Below are 20,048 nucleotides of genomic sequence, written 5' to 3'. Positions count from 1 at the left end.
TTTTGTCAAATGCCTTTGCTGCGTCATTTCCACTCACATTTCATTGGGAAAACCTGTTATACCTGTCCAATAGCGGCAGAACATCAGGTAAAGGCCAGTGGTGACAGCTGTGGCAACAGGCCAAGCTCCAGACCTTGCCAGGCTAGAGGTGGCCTGGGGTTGGAGCAGGCTTAACCCCCTCCCTCTGCTCAGAAGGTCCAGCATCCTGACCAGACTCGGCAGCTTATTGAATTTGCCGGGGTGCAAGCTTCCTTGCACTGTCCACATGTTCTTACCAGGGAAGGGTCTACCCAGGGCCATCCTGCCTCAAAGGAGAAGTGGTTTACTGTTTTCTCCACCTTTAGAGGGAATGAGGGTCCCTGCTCCTGGTCCTTACTCTACTCCACTGTCCAATTGGCGCATGCCCTGAGGCTCTCATTATACAAATTGGAAGCTAAGGTGCAAAAGAACTAAGAATTTGCATAAGGTCCCCAACAGGTGAAGGCAGGCCCCAAACCTAGGATCTAGATTTCGTTTTTCTGACCCCGCTTCCTTTAACCTGCAGGGCTGGCCCAACGCCCCGGGCTTCACCCAACACTGGGCGCAGGCGGGAAGGCCGAGAGGCTGGGTCGGGCGCCCAAGCGAGGGCCCAGGTGGGGCGAAACAGGCGCAGTCAAGGGGCTGGCACCTTGGCCCCCCGCCGTGGATTCAAAGGGTCAGGCTCCGCCCCCTCCAAGCCCCGAGCCCACTTTGATGTGCTGATGCGGCCTGGAAGGGGCCACTTCACACCTCGGGCTCGGCATAAAGCGGCCGCCGGCCGCCGGCCCCCAGACGCGCCGCCGCTGCCATGGCCCAGCCCCTGTGCCCGCCGCTCTCCGAGTCCTGGATGCTCTCTGCGGCCTGGGGCCCAACTCGGCGGCCGCCGCCCTCCGACAAGGACTGCGGCCGCTCCCTCGTCTCGTCCCCAGACTCATGGGGCAGCACCCCAGCCGACAGCCCCGTGGCGAGCCCCGCGCGGCCAGGCACCCTCCGGGACCCCCGCGCCCCCTCCGTAGGTAGGCGCGGCGCGCGCAGCAGCCGCCTGGGCAGCGGGCAGAGGCAGAGCGCCAGTGAGCGGGAGAAACTGCGCATGCGCACGCTGGCCCGCGCCCTGCACGAGCTGCGCCGCTTTCTACCGCCGTCCGTGGCGCCCGCGGGCCAGAGCCTGACCAAGATCGAGACGCTGCGCCTGGCTATCCGCTATATCGGCCACCTGTCGGCCGTGCTAGGCCTCAGCGAGGAGAGTCTCCAGCGCCGGTGCCGGCAGCGCGGTGACGCGGGGTCCCCTCGGGGCTGCCCGCTGTGCCCCGACGACTGCCCCGCGCAGATGCAGACACGGACGCAGGCTGAGGGGCAGGGGCAGGGGCGCGGGCTGGGCCTGGTATCCGCCGTCCGCGCCGGGGCGTCCTGGGGATCCCCGCCTGCCTGCCCCGGAGCCCGAGCTGCACCCGAGCCGCGCGACCCGCCTGCGCTGTTCGCCGAGGCGGCGTGCCCTGAAGGGCAGGCGATGGAGCCAAGCCCACCGTCCCCGGTTAGTGTCCCCTTCCCCGCGCCCCCTTCGTCCGTGCCCCCGCGCACAGCCCCACCGCCCGCCAAGGTGAGGACCAGGCACCCTGCTGCTCCCCGCCGGCAGCCTGGCCACCTGGCCACCATAGTATGCCCAGGGCTCCAAGAAGCGAAGGCAGGGAAAGGCCACGCAGAGGACTGGGTCTCCCCTCGCTAGGGGCCCCCTGAGAGTGGAGCCCACGAGCGCGGACACCCGCACAAGGCCACCAGTGCTTGAGGGCTGCGCTGTTCCGTCTCTCCCTACAGCTCCTTCCGGGCGACGTGCTGGCTCTGTTGGAGACCTGGATGCCCCTCTCGCCTCTGGAGTGGCTGCCTGAGGAGCCCAAGTGACAAGGGACAACTGACGCCGTCTCTGTGAGCACCGAGGCTTTTTGGCCTCAGCACCTTCGAAGTGGTTCCTTGGCAGACTGCCTTTCCTGGAAGAGGGCACGGGCGATCCCGACGGGGGCATTCCTGCGGGTGAGAGCCGTCCCCACCGCGGCGGCCCTTCTCAGCCCCTCCCTCCATGGAGGGACCCATAGGGCTAGACACTTTGAGGCAAGCAGGAGGCTCTGCCTAATGTGAATTTATTTATTTGTGAATAAACTGTACTGGTGTCAGTTGGCAATTTCTTCTTCCTACCCGTGGACACAGAGCTCCCTCTCTCCCTCCAAAGAAGAGCATGGGAGAGGTGGGAGGGGTTCTTGCAATCTTTAGCCCCCCGACCCCCACAGGCCCAGACCCCTTTGGCCTTACCCCCAGCCCTGGCTCAGCATCTAGTCCAGATGGGTCAGCCTGGAATGGGTGGGGAGGGACGTCCTGTGAGAAGGCAGCGGCAAGTAGAATCTGCTCATCTTTTCTTTGAACCTGGTGGGGAACTGGTTAAAACCAAAATATCTGTGTAGAAATACAACTCCATTATTGAGTATTTATTGTATGTACATCAGGTACCTATTATACTCAAGTAACCATTTTACAGAAGGATGAGGATCAGCGCTCAAGCCCAGGTAGGCCTCCAGAGTCCCAGCGCTCAGCTCTTGTGGGATTTTGCCAGCTCCATACATGTTGGGGCCTGAGGGATAACAGCTCCAAGGGGTTATTTTCTTGCATCCTGTGGTCTTATTCTCCATGCACGGGAGCATCCTGGCCTTGGAACTCCCCCACCCTCCGCCGGCATTTTCCCATCTGCCTTTTCTCTGGTTTCCCCACCTTGTGGCTTAGAGACATAAATAATGGTGTGGCGGTCCTGAGTTTATATAACCATGACCTCCTACAGGCCTAGATGGGGTGAGATGAGGGGCCCATGGGGTTGCATCGGAATCCACACAGGCAGTTGCGTGCCTGTCTGCATTGGCTGGATTCACATCAGGGAGCAAGAAACGGGAGGCTTGAGCCCAGAAAGTGTGTCCTCATCCAGCCAGGGTGTCTGGGCAACAGTCATGATTAGAGGGTGCGGTGGGGAGAAGGGATGTGTAGCCTCTCTGCCAAGCGTCCTTTACCCTCTATGGATAGATACCCAGTTCTCCCCTCCTCTCCTTCAAGTGTCTGAAACACAGGCTTCAGTGTCTGTTTTTATAAGAGCTTTATTAGGATACAATTCACATACCATAAAATTCACTCTTTTAACAACTGAATGGCTTTAGTACATCCACAGAGTTGTGCAAGCATTGCCACTAATTTTAGAACGTTTTCACCCCCCAAAAGAAACCGTATACCTGTTAACATCACTCCTCACTATTCCCTACTCCCAGTCCCTGGCACTCACTCTTCTAGTCTCTGTCTCTATAGGTTTGCTTTTTCAGGACATTTCATATAAAAGGAATCGCAAAATACGGCCTTTTGTGTCTGGCTTCTTTCACTGAGCACAATGTTTTTAAGGCTCATCATGCTGCCTCCTGTGTCAGAACTTCGTTTCTTTTTATTGCCCAATAATCTTCCATTGTTCAGCTACATGACAGTTGGTTTATCCGTGGTTCATCCGCTGATGCCGCTCGGTTTGTTTTTCAACTGCTTCAGAGATCACTTCCAGTACTCCGGCCCGGGCCAGGAGGGGCGGTAATGCAGAGTGGGATCGAGTCCCTGATCTGCAGTTCAGGGGTCCAGGCCAGGCAGGGCACACCCGGCCTGGCGCTTGGCCACAGAGTGGGCTCCAAAAGTCAGGCCTGCAGCGGGGTGGGACCTCACACCTCCGCGGGTCACCCCCTTTCCTGCTCCTCTGTCCCATCTCTCACTCCCCTCCCAGGACCCTAACTGGGGTAGAGTGGGAAGTTTTCTGGAGCCGACACAGCTTAGAAGATCTATTTGCATGGCAAAGGCCCTGCGTTTTAGAATGGGGAATTAAAGTTATTAGCAAGTCTTTTCACAGATAAGTGGGGCTCATTGGCTAGCCCCCTTCCCTGCAGAGGGCTTCTCCTCCGCCTCTGAGCCTGGGAGTGGCCCAGTGTTTATTAGCACCTAGGTGTGAATTTTCATTAACAAGGTTCTGCTAATAGCTGCCCAGACTCAGGACTGGAGATAGGCAGGGGACATCTCCCACTGCTCCAGCATCCCCAACCCCCATCCCGGGCAGCCCCATCCCACACCCGGAGGAAACCCTGTGTGCCTGTTCACAGAGCCGACAACAGTAGCCAGCGTCCAGGTAGGCGCCCCGTGCCGGGTGGTAGTGGAGCCTCCCTCACCTCAGTTCTCAGCCCCGCTGCAAGGTAACCCCAGCTGCAGGGCCACTTTAAGAACAGGAGCGTTAAGAAAAAGGCTGCAGATGGTGGGTGGCAGTGTTGGGATCTGGACCCGGCTGTGACTCCAGACCTGTGTGCGTAATCACCAGGTGTGCTGCCTTCGCTTCGGCTGAACACCAGCTTGTCTCAAGAACAGAGGGTACTGGGGGGCGCCTCACCTCCCCTGAGGCCCAGTCAGGGTGCCCCACTGTGGAGTGGTCTGGGCCAGGCCCCACGTGCCGTGGAGGGAGTAGTGAGAAGGACTGCACCGGCACAGGGGTGCCCGCTGAGGCCAACTAGCTGCCCGCTGGTCCCCACTAGTCCCCAGCCGCCCTCCTCTTCTGGGGCTCTGCTTTCACAGGGCCACCTAGTGAGAAGGCCAGCGCAGGGAAACCAGCATTTCCAGAGCAGCGACCCTTGGCCGGGCTGTGTGCTTGGGGCTTAAAATTTGGGCTCAGGGCCGCTGGCAAGGTGGGTAGGTTTGCACTCTCTCTGTTTTACAGGCAGAAGCTGACGCACAGGGAACTCGAGGAACTTTCCATAAGGCTAGTGTGCAGCCCCTGGGGACGGGCCAACTGTGGGCTGGTGGTTGGTGAAGCCTGTCTTTGCAAGAGCCCTGGCAGCAAGGTAGGGGTGTGTGTGTGTGTGTGTGTGTGTGTGTGTGTGTGTGTGTGTGTGTATGTGGCAGTGGGGCTGTGTGTGTGGCGGCGGGGCTGTGTGTGTGTGTGTGCATGCGCATGTGTGTGTGGTGGGGCTGTGTGTGTGCGTGAGCATATGTGTGTGTGTGGCGGCGGGGCTCTGTGTGCACGTGTGTGTGGCAGCGGGGCTGTGTGTGTGTGTGTGTGTGGAGGTGGGGCTGTGTGTGGAGGCGGGGCTGTGTGTGTGGCTGGGGCAGCAGGGCTCTGTGTGTGTGTGTGTGTGGCGGCAGGGCTGTGTGTGTGGAGGCGGGGCTGTGTGTTTGTGGAGGTGGGGCTGTGTGTGTGTGTGTGTGGGGAGGTAGGGCTGTGTGTATATGTGTGGGGAGGTAGGGCTGTGTGTATATGTGTGGGGAGGTAGGGCTGTGTGTGTGTGGAGGCGGGGCTGTGTGTGTGTGTGGAGGTGCGGCTGTGTGTGTTTGTGTGGGGAGGTAGGGCTCTGTGTGTGTGTCTCTGTGTGTGGAGGCGGAGCTGTGTGTGTGTGGAGGCGGGGCTGCGTGTGTTTGCGGAGGCAGGGCTGTGTGTATGTGTGGAGGTTGGGCTGTGTGTGCGTGTGTGGAGGTTGGGCTGTGTGTGTGTGTGGAGGCGGGGCTGTGTGTGTAGAGGCAGGGCTGTGTGTGTGTGTGGAGGTGTGGATGCTGTGTGGAGGTGTGGATGCGGTGTGGATGTGTGGAGGTGTGGATGCTGTGTGGATGTGTGGATGTGTGGAGGTGTGGATGCTGTGTGGATGTGTGGATGTGTGGATGTGTGGAGGTGTGGATGCTGTGTGGATACTGTGTGGATGTGTGAATGTGTGGAGGTGTGGATGCTGCATGGACGTGTGGAGGTGTGGATGCTATGTGGATGATGTGTGGATGTGAGTAAGTGAGGATGCTGTGTGGAGGTGAGTAGGTATGGATGCTGTGTGGAGGTGTGGATGCTATGTGGATGCTGTGTGGATGCTGTGTGGATGCTGTGTGGAGGTGTGGATGCTGTGTGGAGCTGTGGATGCTGTGTGGAGGTGTGTATGTGTGGAGGTGTGGAGGTGTCAGGTGTGGATGCTGTGTGAAAGTGTGGATGCTGTGTGGAGGTGTGTATGTGTGGAGGTGTGTATGCGTGGAGGTGTGGATGTGTGGAGGTGTGGATGTGTGGAGGTGTTGGTGTGTGGATCCTGTTGGGAGGAGTGGAGGTGTGGATGCTCTTTGGAGGTGTGGATGTGTGGAGGTGTTGGTGTGTGGATCCTGTGGGGAGGAAAGGAGGTGTGGATGCTGCACCTGGGCATTGGTATGCCTTGCTCTAGTTCCAACCATACCCTGAGAAGACATAAGGTTCTTTTTTTTTTTGACACAGAGTCTCGCTCTTTCGCCCAGGCTGGAGGGCAGTGGCGTGTTCTTGGCTCACTGCAAGCTCCGTCTTCTGGGTTCATGCCATTTTCCTGTCTCAGCTTTCCCGAGTAGCTGGGACTACAGGTGCCCATCACTACGCCTCGCTAATTTTTTGTATTTTTAGTAGAGACGGGGTTTCACCTTGTTAGCCAGGATGGTCTCGATCTCCTGACCTCATGATCCGCCCGCCTCAGCCTTCCAAAGTGCTGGGATTACAGGCTTGAGCCACCGCGCCCGGCCAACACAGGTTCTTGATGTTTCCATGGGGTCTGTCACCCAGAGGGCAAGGACCTCTTTTGGGCCCACAGGCATGGCCAGCTCTGCCTGGGGCTGCACAGGCGGAAGTGGCTGGAGCCCTGGCAGCGCAGCCTACCAGCTGGGGAGCACTAGCCTCGTGCTGACCGGCCCTGGTTCCTTCTCCCTCGTCCCGCTGGTGGGACCTGGCACATAAGACGCCTTGTGAATGCCTCAGATCCCCTCTCCCCACCCGCTCTCCCCTCACACGCTGGGAAAGGAGAAGGTGGCCAGGTGTGGGCAGCACATGTCTTGGCAGAGGGTGGGCTGGGCTCCCTGCTGCCTCTGCTGGGCCGGGTGCCTCTGTTGTCTGCCTGCTCAGTATCCCTCCTGCCTTCCTCCCTCATGGCCCTGTCATTTCCTTTCCCCAGAGAGCTCTTCCCCTTGTCAGTCCTTGGTTTGGGGGTGGGAATACCTCTCCCTCCCTCCAGGGATGGACACCTGCCGCAGCCCTGACCATCATTACAGTGAGTGGTTCAGGAAAGAGACTACATGCAGGCCAGTGAGGAGCAGGCTCAGGGCTTTGCCGGCACTATTGGGAAGGGGTGGTCCACCGGGTGCTTCTGGTGTCACCCAAGTGGAAGGCCTGCCTGAAGGGGGAATTAGAACTGAGAGGCGGAGGGAGACTCCAGGTGTGATCTCAACACCTGGGGTTGGATCCAGCCACACCAAGAGTGTGACTCCTGGATGGCTAAGTTATCTGAGCCAACACATCCCCCTTTTTGCTAAAGGTAGTTTGTGTTCGGTTTCTAGCATTTGCTATGGAGAAGCCCACGGGGACTGGACACAGGCTGTTCTACGCTGTCTCACCTGAGTCTCAGTTCCCTGCTCTGTAAAATGGGGATAACAATAACATCTATGTTTCACAAGGTTGCTTAAAGCTTAAATGTAAAATACACCAACCACAGAAATGTTGGTTCCCCAACACCTTAGGTGGTGTGTAAGCCAAGACCATCTTCCTAAGTTCTCCTTCCTCGTCTCCAGAGAGCTGCCAGAGCACCTGCTGTGTAGAGGGAATTACTGCCAACAGGTATGTTGGCGGCTATATTTCATTCCCATGGTGGGGTGTGGAGAGGGCCAGAGTGTCTCAGGCGGGGATACCTTCATCCCGGGGGACAGTCAGCTAGCCAGCATCAGTGCCACATGGAAGTTGTCTGGCCAACAAGGAATGTGGTATGTGACCCAGGGAGGAGGTGGATGGGGCTGCAAAACAGCAGCCATCACAAACTCTGAGTGCAGTCACCCTCCCAGGTAGTTTCTCACCCAAGAGACTGAGCAGGCCTAGGACCAGGCTGGGACACTTGAGCCCCCTCAGCCTCCAAGGTTCCACACAGGGTCCTCACGGATCCCTTGGGCTGCTGGGGACCCCTCCGTCTGTTTTTTGGGGGAGGACAGTTTCTAGAGAAGAACAAGGCATCTCTCTGCCCAGCCACCTCTAGCGTTCCTGAGCCAGCAGGCCAGGGGCAGCAGTGGCCCAGCTCCTGCCTGCCACCTCTCCCTCCCACTCTGCCTCTCGTACCTGTGTGGCCTCAGGCCCTTACGCCACCATCCTGAGCCTCACCTCCTCAAAGCTATTCTATAAAGGTGTGAGCCAGCCGTGGGAGGGAGAAATGGGTGGGGAAAACAGGTGGGCGGGGTGTCTTGCTCATCTGAGGACAGTGGCTCTCCAGGGCCTAGGAGGTGAGTGGTCCTCACCAGGCCGAGGACTCTGGTTGAAACCATCATCTGGGCCCTGCTGGGGTCTGGACTGCGTGGGAACGATGAGTTATATACCACAGCAACTTGGGAGTCTGGAGACAATATCACTGTTTATTTGGGTGACACATCTGCCTGCCTGAGGGCTCTGACAAGAGGCTTAGTGGTTGAAGGTCCCCCAGATTATACTTTTCCCCTTGCTGGCTCTGCAGAGGCCCCAGACTCCGAGTGCAGGCCTGTGGAGCTGTGGCTCTGTTACATTTCTCTTGGCCTCAGTGTCCTGGGAGCAGCTGCCTCGTGGCTGAAACCTCCTTTTCAGAGATCCCAGGGCGGTGGCAGCCTCACTTCTTGAAGTTCTCTCTCTGGAGCGACAAGGAGTACCTCTGAAGCCGGGCCCAGTGCTCCTCCTCCTTCTCTGGGTTCTTCTCCAGCTTCCGATAGCTGAGGGCCACACAACTGTGATGAGAGGAATCTCCTCTCACTTCCCCAGCTCCCGAGCCCCCAGGGCAGACCTCGACTACCCTGTGCTCCTATGAGAAACTCTAAGAGGACACACCTGCATCGCCTCTGTGTCCTCAGGGCTCAGCCTGGTACACAGCAGGTGCTCAGAAGGCCTTTCCTGGAGGAATGATGGGTCTAGCATTCTTACCTGTGAGGTGCATGTGGGTAGACAGGATGGCGAGCTGAGGAACTAAAAGGCTATTTGCAAACAAGCTGTGGTATTACACACAACGGAACATTCAGACTGAAAAGGAAGATGTTCTGACACATGCTCCACCATGGATGACTATTGAGGACATTACGCTGACTGAAATATGCCAGTCACAAAAAGACACACTGTATGATTCCAACTTTTATAAAGACAGTTTGAGTTGGGTCTTTTAAAAAGTAAGAGTTGTTGGCCAGGCGCGGTGGCTCACGCCTGTAATCCCAGCACTTTGGGAGGCCAAGGCAGGCGGATCACCTGAGGTTGGGAGTTTGAGACTAGCCTGGCCAACCTGGAGAAACCCCGTCTCTACTAAAAATACAAAACTTGCCAGGCGTGGTGGCACGTGCCTGTAATGCCAGCTACTCAGGAGGCTGAGGCAGGAGAATCGCTTGAATCTGGGAGATGGAGGTTGCAGTGAGCCAAGATAGCACCATTGCACTCCAGCCTGGGCAACAAGAGCAAAATTCCATCTCAAAAGAAAAAAAAAGTAAGAGTTGTTTAAAAAAAAATAATAAGTGCATGTTCACTACAGAAAAATCAGAGAAGCCCAAGATTCACCCCTCAGAGTGCACACAGAGACGGGCACGCTTAGCAGGGTGGAGGGGGGGCTGTCAGTGGGGTTGTGGTAGGGAAGGAGGTGCAAGTGAATGATGTTAAAATGCTTAGGCAAACAGGAAGAGGAGTACTCTGGGGGAGAAAGACAATGACCATAGCTTTGATTTGTTTTGAGGCTCTCCATCTATGTGGAGATAAGATTTTAATTAATTTAATTAATTAATTTTTTATTTATAGATGTAGATGTAGAGATGGGGTCTCACTATGTTGCTCAGGCTAATCTTGAACTCCTGGCGTCAAGTGATCCTCCATCTCTGTCTCCCAAACTGCTGGGATTACAGGCGTGAGCCACAGCACCTGGCTGGTAATGTCCAACTTTTCACAAAAATGGTGAATGCTATCTTAAAAATGTATTGGAGGCCGGGTGTGATGGCTCATGCCTGTAATCCCAGCACTTTGGGAGGCCAAGGCGGGTGGATCACAAGGTCAAGAGATCGATACCATCCTGGCCAACATGGTGAAACCCCGTCTCTACTAAAAAATACAAAAATTAGCTGGGCATGGTGGCATGTGCCTGTAGTCCCAGCTACTTGGGAGGCTGAGGCAGGAGAATCACTTGAACCTGGGAGGCAGAGGTTGCAGTGAGCTGAGATTGTGCCACTGCACTCCAGCCTGGCGACAGAGCGAGACTCCATCTCAAAAAAAAAAAGTATTGGAGATAGGTTTTATATTTAGATTTATATAACCGGTTATATGAATATATTTAAACACTGGAGAAATTCCTTCACTGTCTCAGAACCAAGCAAGATGCACCATATTTTGTGTTGATTTGCCTCTTAAAGGAAAGGGCTGAAGGTAAAGTAGCAATGTGTACTTTATATTTTTGACCTTAACTCTGCCAATCTAAGTAGAATTCCCTGTATCTGTAATGGTTTCTTTTAGGCTGAGAATGGTGGCTCACACTGATAGTCCCAGAAATTTGTAAGGCCCAGGTGGGAGGGTCACTTGAGCCTAAGAGTTCAAGACCAGCCTGGGCAACATAGGGAGACCCTGCTTCCACAGATAATAAAAAAATTAGCTGGGTGTGGTGGCGCATGCCTGTGGCCCCAGTTGCTCGGAAGGCTGAGGCAGGATTGCCTGAGCCCGGGAAGTCAAGGCTGCAGTGAGCTGTGATTGCACCACTGCACTCCAGCCTGGATGACCCTGTCTCAAAAAATAGACAAAATAAAAATAAAATAAAATCCCTTTTACTTATTGAAAGAGATTCTGGTGTGATTTATGTGTAATAGCAAATAAAGAATATTTAACACTTATTTATTTATTTTTTTTGAGACAGATTCTTGCTCTGTCGCCCAGGCTGGAGTGCAATGGCATGATCTCAGCTTACTGTAACCTCCACCTCCTGAGTTCAAGCAATTCTCCTACCTCAGCCTCCTGAGTAGCTGGGATTATAGGCACCTGCCACCGTGCCCGGTTAATTTTTGTACTTTTAGTAGAGACGGGGTTTCACCATTTTGGCCAGCCTGGTCTCGAACGCCTGGCCTTAGGTGATCCACCCGCCTTGGCCTCCCAAAGTGCTGGGATTACAGGTGTGAGCCACCGCGCCCGGCCAATTTAACACTTTTTAAAAAAGTAATCTATACATTTGCAGCTTTTAAATAAAATCAGGCCAGGCGTGGTGGCTCATGTCTGTAATCCCACCACTTTGGCAGGCCGAGGCAGGCAGATAATCTGAGGTCAGTAGTTCGAGACCAGCCTGGCCAACATGGAGAAACCCCATCTCTACTAAAAATACAAAAATTAGCCGGGCGTGGTGGCGCATGCCTGTAATCCCAGCTACTGGGGAGGCTGAGGCAGGAGAATCGCTTGAACCCGGGAGGCAGAGGTTGCAGTGAGCCGAGATCGCGCCAGTGCACTTCAGCCTGGGTGATAAGAGTGAAACTCTGTTTCAAAAACAAAAACAAAAACAAAAAACAAAAACCCTCCCTGTGAAGAATAGTTGAACATTCTTGGTAGACCTTTAGAGAGGGCCAATGTCAACCATCGCCTTCTTCATTGCCTCTCTCTCCCCAGAGACTCATGAGACCATATTCGTCTCCTGACGAATAGGCACATTTCCCTCCGGGAGGTACCGAGAGCCTCCCAGCGACCCACTACAATGCAGGAAGGACTTGAACGCCCCTGTTAAGTGCAGGTATGAGCTAGGAAGCGGAGAGGAGCTATGGTGCCACCTAGTGGTAATGTTTAGAATTTTCCCAGGCATGAACTTGGATTAGCAGGGAGCCATCATCATGGTCATAACTACCATTTACTGAGCAACCACTCTGTGCCTGGTACTTTCCATGTATCATCCCACTTAATACCTTAAGCCAAAAAAAATCAGGCATCATTAAAATGGTCAGAACACAGCCTGGCATCTCACAGGTGCACAATATGTGTTTTTTGACTGAATGAGGAGGCTGAGTAACTCGCCCAAGGTCTCATTGTAAGTGGTAGTGTCAGAATCAAACTCAGGTCTGTTTGGCTCCAGACCTGCATATCTTAACCAGTCTACTTCAATCTTCCCTGAGTAAACAGTCTACACAGAGAAAGGGGGAAATAGTCGTGAAGTGACTCTTCCCTGAGTAAAGAGTCTACACAGAGAAAGGGGGAGACAGTCGTGAAGAGACATTATGGTGATTGGAGAGATCACAGAATCTCAGAGGTCACGTTACATACATAGGAACATCTAGGCACTGGAAGGAAAGGAACCTGCCAGAGCCACCTAGTTCTGTAGTGGCAGGCCCGGGACGAGGATCCAGGACTCCACTGATGACCCCAGTCCACCCGAAATGTGTGGTCAGATCCCAAAAGGAATCATCAACAAGGATTTGCAAATCCCCAGAAATTTATTGTGAGATGGATTAGAAGAGACACCTATTTCTCCAGAATGGCCTGAGTACTGTTCCTTATGCTTTGATAGCAGAAAGGAGGGCAAGAAAACAGTGCTTGCAGGATTAGGGAGAGTGGAAAGAGGAAGGGGAAGAGGAGAAACACACACATAACGGTTTATCTGAATGATGGGTAAAAGAAAGGGGTCTTAGATCATGGGTTGGCAAACATTTTCTGTAAAGGCCCAGAATGTAAATAATTTAGACTTTATAGGTCATGCTGTCTCCTTCGCAGCCTTCAATCCTGCCATAGCATACAGTAGCCATAGATAATACATAAACAAATGGGCACGGCTGTGTTCAAATAAAACCTTATTTACAAAACCAGGCAGTGGACTGGATATGGCCCACAGGTCATAGTTTGCCAACCCCATCTTAAGGATTGTGTCTAATAATCCAAACATACTTTTTTTTTTTTTTTTTGAGGCAGGGTCTGACTCTGTCACCCAGGCTGGAGTGCAATGGCACGATCTTGGCTCACTGCATCCTCTGCCTCCCAGGTTCAAGCAATTCTCCCCCACCTCAGCCTCCAGAGTAGCTGGGACAAAAGGCATGTGCTACCACACCCAGCTAATTTTGTGTTTTTTGTAGAGATGGGGTTTCGCCATGTTGGCCAGGCTGGTCTCAAACTCCTGAGCTCAAGCAATCTGCCCACCTCGGCCTCCCAAAGTGCTGGGATTACAGGCATGAGCCACCGGGCCTGGCCTAAACATACTTTTAAGAGGGAATTGAGAAAGTTAAAAAGATGATCTTGACAGGAAGAAAACACCAACTGGAAGCCCTTCTTTTCTCCCAGCCTGAATTAATGACTCTTTTTCTACCAATCCACATGTGAGGTGGAGTGCAGCTCATGGGCTATCATGGGGTAGAACCCTTCACTTAGGGGAAATTTCTTTTTTTTTTTTTTTTTTTGGGACAGAGTCTTGCTCTGTCACCTAGGCTGGAGTGCAGTGGTGCGATCTTGGCTCACTGCAACCTCTGCCTCCCAGGTTTAAGCAATTCTCCTGCCTCAGCCTCCCGAGTAGCTGGGATTACAGGCATGTACCACCACACCCAGCTAATTTCTGTATTTTTAATAGAGACGGGGTTTCACCATGTTGACCAGGCTGGTCTTGAACTCCTCACCTCAGGTGATCCGCCTGCCTCGGACTCCCAAAGTGCTGGGATTACAGGCGTGAGCCACCACGCCCAGCCAGGGGAAATTTCAATGCTGAAAGGATTTACCATGAAAGAAACTCCACTATCCCTCAATCCAGAGACAACCTCAGATGTGGGAGGGGGTGAAGACACAGAGCTCTTTACCTCTTCTGGAGGAAACGCTCACATCTCTTCTCCAGTGGCAGTGCTTGGGGGAAGGCCATGTTATCCAAGTCCCTTTGAGGAATGGTACAATTTTTTGAGATATTTTCCAGGAGTGGGCAGGCCTCAAAATTAAAATAGAAAACAGAATATTGGATTCCAGCATCGTCGGTGGACGCAGTTTCATGTGAATAGTCTCCTGTGACGAGACAAGAACACCATGTTCTGTGTAACAATCGCTTTCTCAGTGGGCTCTGTGGTCCAGGTGAGCAGGTGGGGGCTGCTCTCTGCTTATAAAGGCTGGGTCATCTGGGTTGAGCTGTGACTTCAGAGAGAAGACCCTGCTGGCATTTTATCTAAGTGCCCTGTGAGGACTGAGCTGCGGTACCCTTTGGCCTATGGTAGAGGGGGACACAGAGTGGGGAGGAGATCGGAGGGGCTCTCTCTGTTTGTGAGAGAACTAAGTCAGGGAAATGGTCAGTGGGCATCAGCCCTGGTCCCTTTCTGTACCTCGGAGCAGGAAACATGGATGGTCTGGAGACACAGCAAACACTGGCTTCCAGGGGACCTCCAGAGGAAAGGCTCCCGGAGGGGCAAAGGCACAGATGATTTCACGCTTGGCCACATCCATAAGGCACACAGAGCCATTCTTGGAAAAGATGAGCACCTGGGAAGCAAAGAGATGGTGAGGGGGGCTTCTACTGGACTCTGTCCCTCACAGGAAGGTCGTGTAGAGGTCACCCCAGTAAGGAATGAGAGAAGCAGCTGGACATAAAACCTCTTGGGCCCCAGCCTCTGGATCCATCCAGGGCTGCTGGAGACCTGCACACACATGTGTGCTTGGGGTCCCCCTCAGCCAACAGACCCTCCTCCACATGCTGTCTGCTCCAGGGCTATGCATTCCTCCCCTTTTTCCCAGCCTCTCTTCCAAGTTCTCTGCTTCTCTGCTGAAGAGCTCACCCTCCATGTAGCCAAGATTCCATTTCTCACCTGTGCTCCCAATGCCTTTCCTTCCCACTGCCTCAGGGACCTTGCTCAATCTAACAGCCCCTCCTGGCCTGAGATCTGAGCTGGGGATGCTCTCTTGCCTGGGCTCTTTCCTCTGCAGTGAACATACTAAACTCTCCCCATCCTTAGAAAGTCCCCTTTGGCCGGGCGCGATGGCTCATGCCTGTAATCCCAGCACTTTGGGAGGCCAAGGTGGGCGGATCACGAGGTCAGGAGATCGAGACCATCCTGGCTAACACGGTGAAACCTCGTCTCTACTAAAAATACAAAAAATTAGCCTGGCGTGCTAGCGGGCACCTGTAGTCCCAGCTACTCGGGAGGCTGAGGCAGGAGAATGGTGTGAACCCGGGAGGCAGAGCTTGCAGTGAGCCAAGATTGCACCACTGCACTCCAGCCTGGGCGGCAGAGCGAGACTCCGTTTCAAAAAAAAAAAAAAAAGCCCCCTTTGACCCAACAGCCTCCTCCAGCTGCCACACCACTTTCCCCTCCCCACACAAGAGGGTCTCTCCACACCCTGTCCACTCCCCCACCTCCTGCGTCTGTCTCCCAGCTTCAGCCACTCGTCTCCACCATGTTCTTGGTTTTTCTGCAGCACAGGACACTGCTCTCACTTTCTTTAGACTCTCCTCTCTGCTTGCAGGACTGTCCCCATGCAGTTTTCCCTGGGGCCCCTCACGGTCACTTTGTGAACTGATTTTCCAGGTCCTGTAAGTGATGGTAGTGCCCATGGGAACCTCTTCTCTATTCACTCCCTCTCTTTAACAAGGGGAACCTGCTGTACGCCCCACTTCAACCACCTCTCACTAACTGTACCTGGCTGGTGAGCATGGAATCTACATTTTCAGCCCTTGGCTCTCTTGGAGCCTCCCCTGGGGGTCCTGTAGGCCCCTCACCCTCCGTAGGGCCACACCAGGAATCACAGACTTTCTCTCCAGGCCTGAAGTGGGCCCTGTAAGGACTGGGGAATCACCTCTGCAAGCGAGGATCAACCGCGCACGCTTCCCTCTCCTTTGGCAACAGCCACAGGTAGTGAAGAATGTGGAGTCCATCGCCGAACTGAGATCTCTCAACTCTCCATCCCTGCTCTAAATATGCTGTTCCCATTCTCTGACCTCTCTGTTTGAGCCCCATCCCACACAGGGACACATCTGTATCCTTCTGCGCAGTGTACAGGACCTTCCATGGTCTGGCCCACCTGTCTTCCCGCCCCAGCCTCCTCCCTCTCCACATTCCACAGCAATCTCATGTGGCAGATACTGGGACTTCCTGCAGTGCCCGGGACACGTGGTGCTCTCTTGCCTCCATGGTGTTGCCTTCTCAACTCCTCTGGCTCAGCTCAGCTGTCACCTCCTCCAGAAAACACAGTCCTCCCCTGCTGCCAACTTCTGCAGGTTGAGTTAGGTGACCCTCTCTCTGTTCCATGCATCCATTAAAAAATCCCTATCACAGCCTTTCTCATGTTCTAAGGCAGCTGCCTGGTGACTTCTCTGTCTTCCCAAATGAGCTGTGTGCTCCATGAAGGCAGGTTCTTTCTCTTTCTATTTGTAAACCCGAAAGCTAGTCCAGTGCCTAACACATAACAGGCCTTCAATAAGCATTTTCTAAAGGACAGATGAACACATTCACAGAAGAGAAATGAGAGGCATGGGGCATTTACAGAGAGGCATGGGGAACCTACCATGCCAGGTAAGGCTGGGACTGGGGCCACGGCACAGATGGTTTTATCCAGGTGCTTTACAGGCCTATAGGACAGAAAATATACAGACATTCTCCTACTTTAAGAGTTTAAAAGTTTTGATATCCTCTTCTAGGCATATATCCTGGAGAAATTCAGAGAAATCAAGAAATATGTGAGGAGGCTGTTCATAGTAGCAAAAAATTAAGAACAATCCAAATATCTATTAGGAGGATGCTTAAGTCATTGTGGTATCTTATACAATGAAATATAATATGGTAATGAAAATAAAAGAACTGGAGCTACATGCATCAACATGTATGGCTCTTGTGAACAATGTTGCAAAGCAAGATGCAGAATAAATACCATTGAAAAACAAGTTGGAGGCTGGGTGCAGTGGCTCACACCTGTAATCCCAGCACTTTGGGGGCCCAGCACTTTGAGCCCAGGAGTTCAAGACCAGCCTGGGCTACAGAGTGAGACCGTGTCTCAAACAAAACCAAACAAAACAGAAAGAAAGAAAGGAAAGAAGGATGCACGGAAGGAAAGAAGGAAGGAAGGAAGGAAGGAGGGACGGAGGGAAGGAAGGAAGGAAGACAAGTTGGAGAATATATAGAATATGGTTTGCTTTGTAAGTTTCCTAAATATGCATAGCTAAATAATATACTGTTTAGAGATACAGTCATACAAATGTGGTTAATTCTTTTTCTTTTTTTAATAATTTTTGTTCTTTTCACAGAGAAGGGGTCTCACTATGTTACCCAGGCTGGTCTTGAACTCCTGAGCTCAAGTGGTCCACCCGCCTTGGCCTCCCAAAGTGCTTGGATTACAGGTGTGACCCTCTGTACCTGGCCTAAATGTGGTTAATTCTTAAGGGAAAGCAAAGGAATGATGAATTTAGAAAAATGGTGTGGTAGATTGAAAAGCAGTTGGCTGTATTTGGCAGTGACTCCCATCAAAAGATGGAGTCTGTTTTTCTACTGCTTGAATGTGGGCATGGATGTGGGATGTGCTTTGCCCAATGGGACATTAGCAAATGTAACATGAGCAGAAGCTTGAAAAGCATTTGTGTGCTATGGTTGCCCTCTCCTGCTGCTAGGAGCCCTTAGACTACCATGTGAGAAAGGCTGTACTAGTCTGCAGGAGAGACCATGAGGAAAACCGAGGTGCACTGGCCAATAACCTGCCAACTGCCAGGTGTGTGAGTGAAGCTATCTTAGAAGAGCTGTGAGCTGCCTGAAGGCACATTTGAGAGCCCAGGTGAGACCAGTAGAAGAAACGGACTGAGTCCAGTCCAAATTGCTGACCTACAGACTCAAGGACTAAACACTGACTATTTTCTTAAACCATTAAGTTTTGGGGTGGTTTGTTATTTAGCATTAGGTAATTAATAAGGTGTTTGGGGCGGAGCAAGAAGGATTGATGAGGGAGAGCCATGCAGGGAGCCCAAATGGAACTGGAGATTATCGATTTCCAACGGTTTCAGGGGAGTTGATCTCATTATTCTTTATTACACACACACACGTACACACATGCGCGCGCGCACACACACACACACACACATTATACAGGTTCATTTGCATGCATTAGGTATTTTTAAATGTTTAAAAGAGAGAGAGATCCCTGGAGAAACTGATGGAAGTTTACTGTGGGAGAAATGAGCCTCTTCTTGGCCGTATGGGATGGGAAGGATGTTGTCTTAATCCATTTTCTGTTGCTTATAACAGAATACCTGAAACTGGATAATGTATAAAGCAAAGGAATTTATTTCTTACAGTTCTGGAGGCTGAGAAGTCCAAGGTCAAGGGTCCACAGCTAGTGAGAGCCTTCTTGCTGGTGGGGACTCTCTAGAGAGTCCCGAGACGGCATAGGGTGTGACATGGTGAGGGAATTGAGTGTGCTCATGTTCTAGCTCAGGTATCTCTTCCTTTTCTTATAAAGCCACTATTTCCACTCCCATGATACCCATTAATCCATTCACCTATTAATCCATTAATGCATGAGTGGGTTAATCCATTCATGTGGGAAGAGCCTTCATGATCCAATCATCTCCTAAAGGCCCCATCTCACAGTACTGCCACAATGGGGATTGAGTTTTCACATGGGTTTTGGAGGGGAGAGTCAAACCATAGCAGATGTCATCTGTGCTATCATACAATTTTGTTAGAAAAAATTGTAACATATATGTGACATTGGTGATCTTCAGAAGCTCACCAGGAGAGTGATGACTATACAAAAGGTGGACTGTAGTCAGAGAGGCTGTCAGATTTTACTATCAAATAGCAATTAAAATAATCTGGCCAATTATTTACCCCGTCCCACCCTCAAGCTACTGACCTCTCAACAAGCACACTGATGGTGGGTCCTTGGGTCCCGCTAGCCTCCACCAGATGGAGGGAGGCGTCTGTGCACAGCACCACACATTTCATTTGGGATTTCACTTGACCTTCAGGATACATATTCTGTCCTTTGTGGACCGAGAAATATTTTAGGAAGTGAATGCTTTGGCAGAAACATCCCTGAGGAAGAGCAGCGACCCCAAGAGGGAATCCTAGAGAAAGTAATCACACAAGCCGGTCAGAAAACGGGGTAGGGGAGGAGGCCATGGGCACAGGGGCTGTGACCAGCAAGTGTGTGAGGGACTTGTAGGATGTGAAGGCAAAATCAAGCAATGAGCACCCTGTGAGAGAAAATCAGTAAACCTAGTGCCCAATGGGAGAGAAAAGCCCCCTGCAGGGGAATGCTGCTGTGTCTGGAGAGGAATTGGGGAGGGGGAGAAGCAAGAGCATGGAGGAGGGCAGGGTCAGCACTGGAGTGGAAGGAAGCTACAACCCAGCCAGGGACTGAGGCGCAGCTGACCATGGGATGCAAAGGCGTATGGGCAGGGGGAGGCACAGCTGTTTCAGAAAAGGCGGTGTGTGTGTGTGTGTGTGTGTGTGTGGCCAAACAACAAGAACTTAATATCCAGAAAAAAATGAAAACAAGCTATTTTGGTCAAGGGCTTATGAAATCATCATCATTCTTCTTTCCTTGAAATATCTTTTGCTTCTATAATAATGCTGTTGGTTCAATAAGTAAAATAAAGGAGGGTCTTTAGTGGTGTTTATCTTAGCAGTGTGTGGGGAAAATATCCTCCAAAGTTGAAATAACCACTGCATTCTTCAGAAAGTGATAGCCAAGTGAGGAAGGCAATTTGCTAGCTTGACAGACACCTCCCTGAGAACAGTCAACTCCCTGGTCTGATCACAAGCTACCCAACAAACAGGGTACTATCTCTGATGCTCTGCACCTGCCAGGAGGGCTGCCCAGTGAAGGTGGCCCACCTCCACTCTCTAGGTAAATACATCTCCAACTGCAAAATGGCAAACCACTGAGTCATTACTGGCCTTTAACAAAGTCCGGTTAGAGGGAGCTGCTTCTCTAGAGGCTGACGAATTTAGGAAGCAATATCATTGATTTCTGTATCTGCAAAGCTGGACCCAGGACCCTAGAACTCAACCACAGTGCCACCCACCCAGAATAGCTGCTGGTCTCACTTTGACTGCTT

General features: G+C 52.5%; 2 protein-coding genes across 18 annotated transcripts in view, besides 2 other annotated features; one reads left to right on the top strand and one right to left on the bottom strand.

The window, feature by feature from the left end:
* Positions 759-1,188: a silencer, noted in NCBI's record as "silent region_6804". NCBI's record gives its function as "represses an Ori minimal core promoter by ATAC-STARR-seq in GM12878 lymphoblastoid cells {active_cell/tissue: GM12878}" and the evidence as "EXISTENCE:reporter gene assay evidence [ECO:0000049][PMID:35858748]".
* Positions 809-19,612, top strand: MESP1 (mesoderm posterior bHLH transcription factor 1). Of its 6 annotated transcripts, XR_001751351.2 has the most exons (6): positions 809-1,549; positions 1,831-2,043; positions 2,511-2,570; positions 4,781-4,904; positions 7,564-7,660; positions 8,602-8,684. XR_001751351.2 is itself a non-coding variant. In NM_018670.4 (2 exons), exons 1-2 carry the CDS (start codon positions 827-829, stop codon positions 1,912-1,914), a joined length of 807 nt encoding a protein of 268 aa, NP_061140.1. In that variant the 5' UTR covers positions 809-826; the 3' UTR covers positions 1,915-2,183. The 6 variants fall into 6 exon arrangements, 1 of the variants encoding a protein (NP_061140.1); XR_007064473.1 differs by lacking the exons at positions 2,511-2,570; positions 7,564-7,660; positions 8,602-8,684 and adding exons at positions 17,241-17,333; positions 17,601-19,612; XR_001751352.2 differs by lacking the exons at positions 2,511-2,570; positions 8,602-8,684 and adding an exon at positions 17,241-17,278.
* Positions 1,249-1,538: a silencer, noted in NCBI's record as "silent region_6803". NCBI's record gives its function as "represses an Ori minimal core promoter by ATAC-STARR-seq in GM12878 lymphoblastoid cells {active_cell/tissue: GM12878}" and the evidence as "EXISTENCE:reporter gene assay evidence [ECO:0000049][PMID:35858748]".
* The window catches only part of WDR93 (WD repeat domain 93), a 53,291-nt gene continuing 41,662 nt past the window's right edge, over positions 8,420-20,048 (bottom strand). For 6 of the 12 annotated variants that reach the window (XM_011521794.3, XM_011521795.2, XM_006720614.2 and 3 more), the window contains 4 exons: positions 18,839-19,052; positions 14,329-14,485; positions 13,822-14,017; positions 8,420-8,766 (listed from right to left, as the gene is read on the bottom strand). In XM_011521794.3, coding sequence (XP_011520096.1) covers positions 8,486-8,766; positions 13,822-14,017; positions 14,329-14,485; positions 18,839-19,052 — 848 coding nt within the window. In that variant the 3' untranslated portion in view covers positions 8,420-8,485. Of the gene's footprint in view, positions 8,767-13,821; positions 14,018-14,328; positions 14,486-15,356; positions 15,532-16,504; positions 16,569-18,838; positions 19,053-20,048 lie in introns of those variants that run through there. The other 6 variants (XR_931869.2, NM_020212.2, NM_001284395.2 and 3 more) reach the window with 6 other exon arrangements.

The sequence above is a fragment of the Homo sapiens genome, chromosome 15 (assembly GCF_000001405.40).
Source record: "Homo sapiens chromosome 15, GRCh38.p14 Primary Assembly".
Classification (NCBI taxonomy): domain Eukaryota; kingdom Metazoa; phylum Chordata; class Mammalia; order Primates; family Hominidae; genus Homo; species Homo sapiens.
This window is presented reverse-complemented; position numbering and strand designations above follow the sequence as displayed.

What these genes read in the sequence shown, in the direction of transcription:
- MESP1 (NM_018670.4), top strand. Translation starts at nt 827, where the DNA reads ATGGCCCAGCCCCTGTGCCCGCCGCTCTCCGAGTCCTGGATGCTCTCT. An exon ending in AGCCAAGCCCACCGTCCCCG is followed by an intron (nt 1,550 to 1,830) that starts GTTAGTGTCCCC and finishes CTCTCCCTACAG; the next exon opens with CTCCTTCCGGGCGACGTGCT.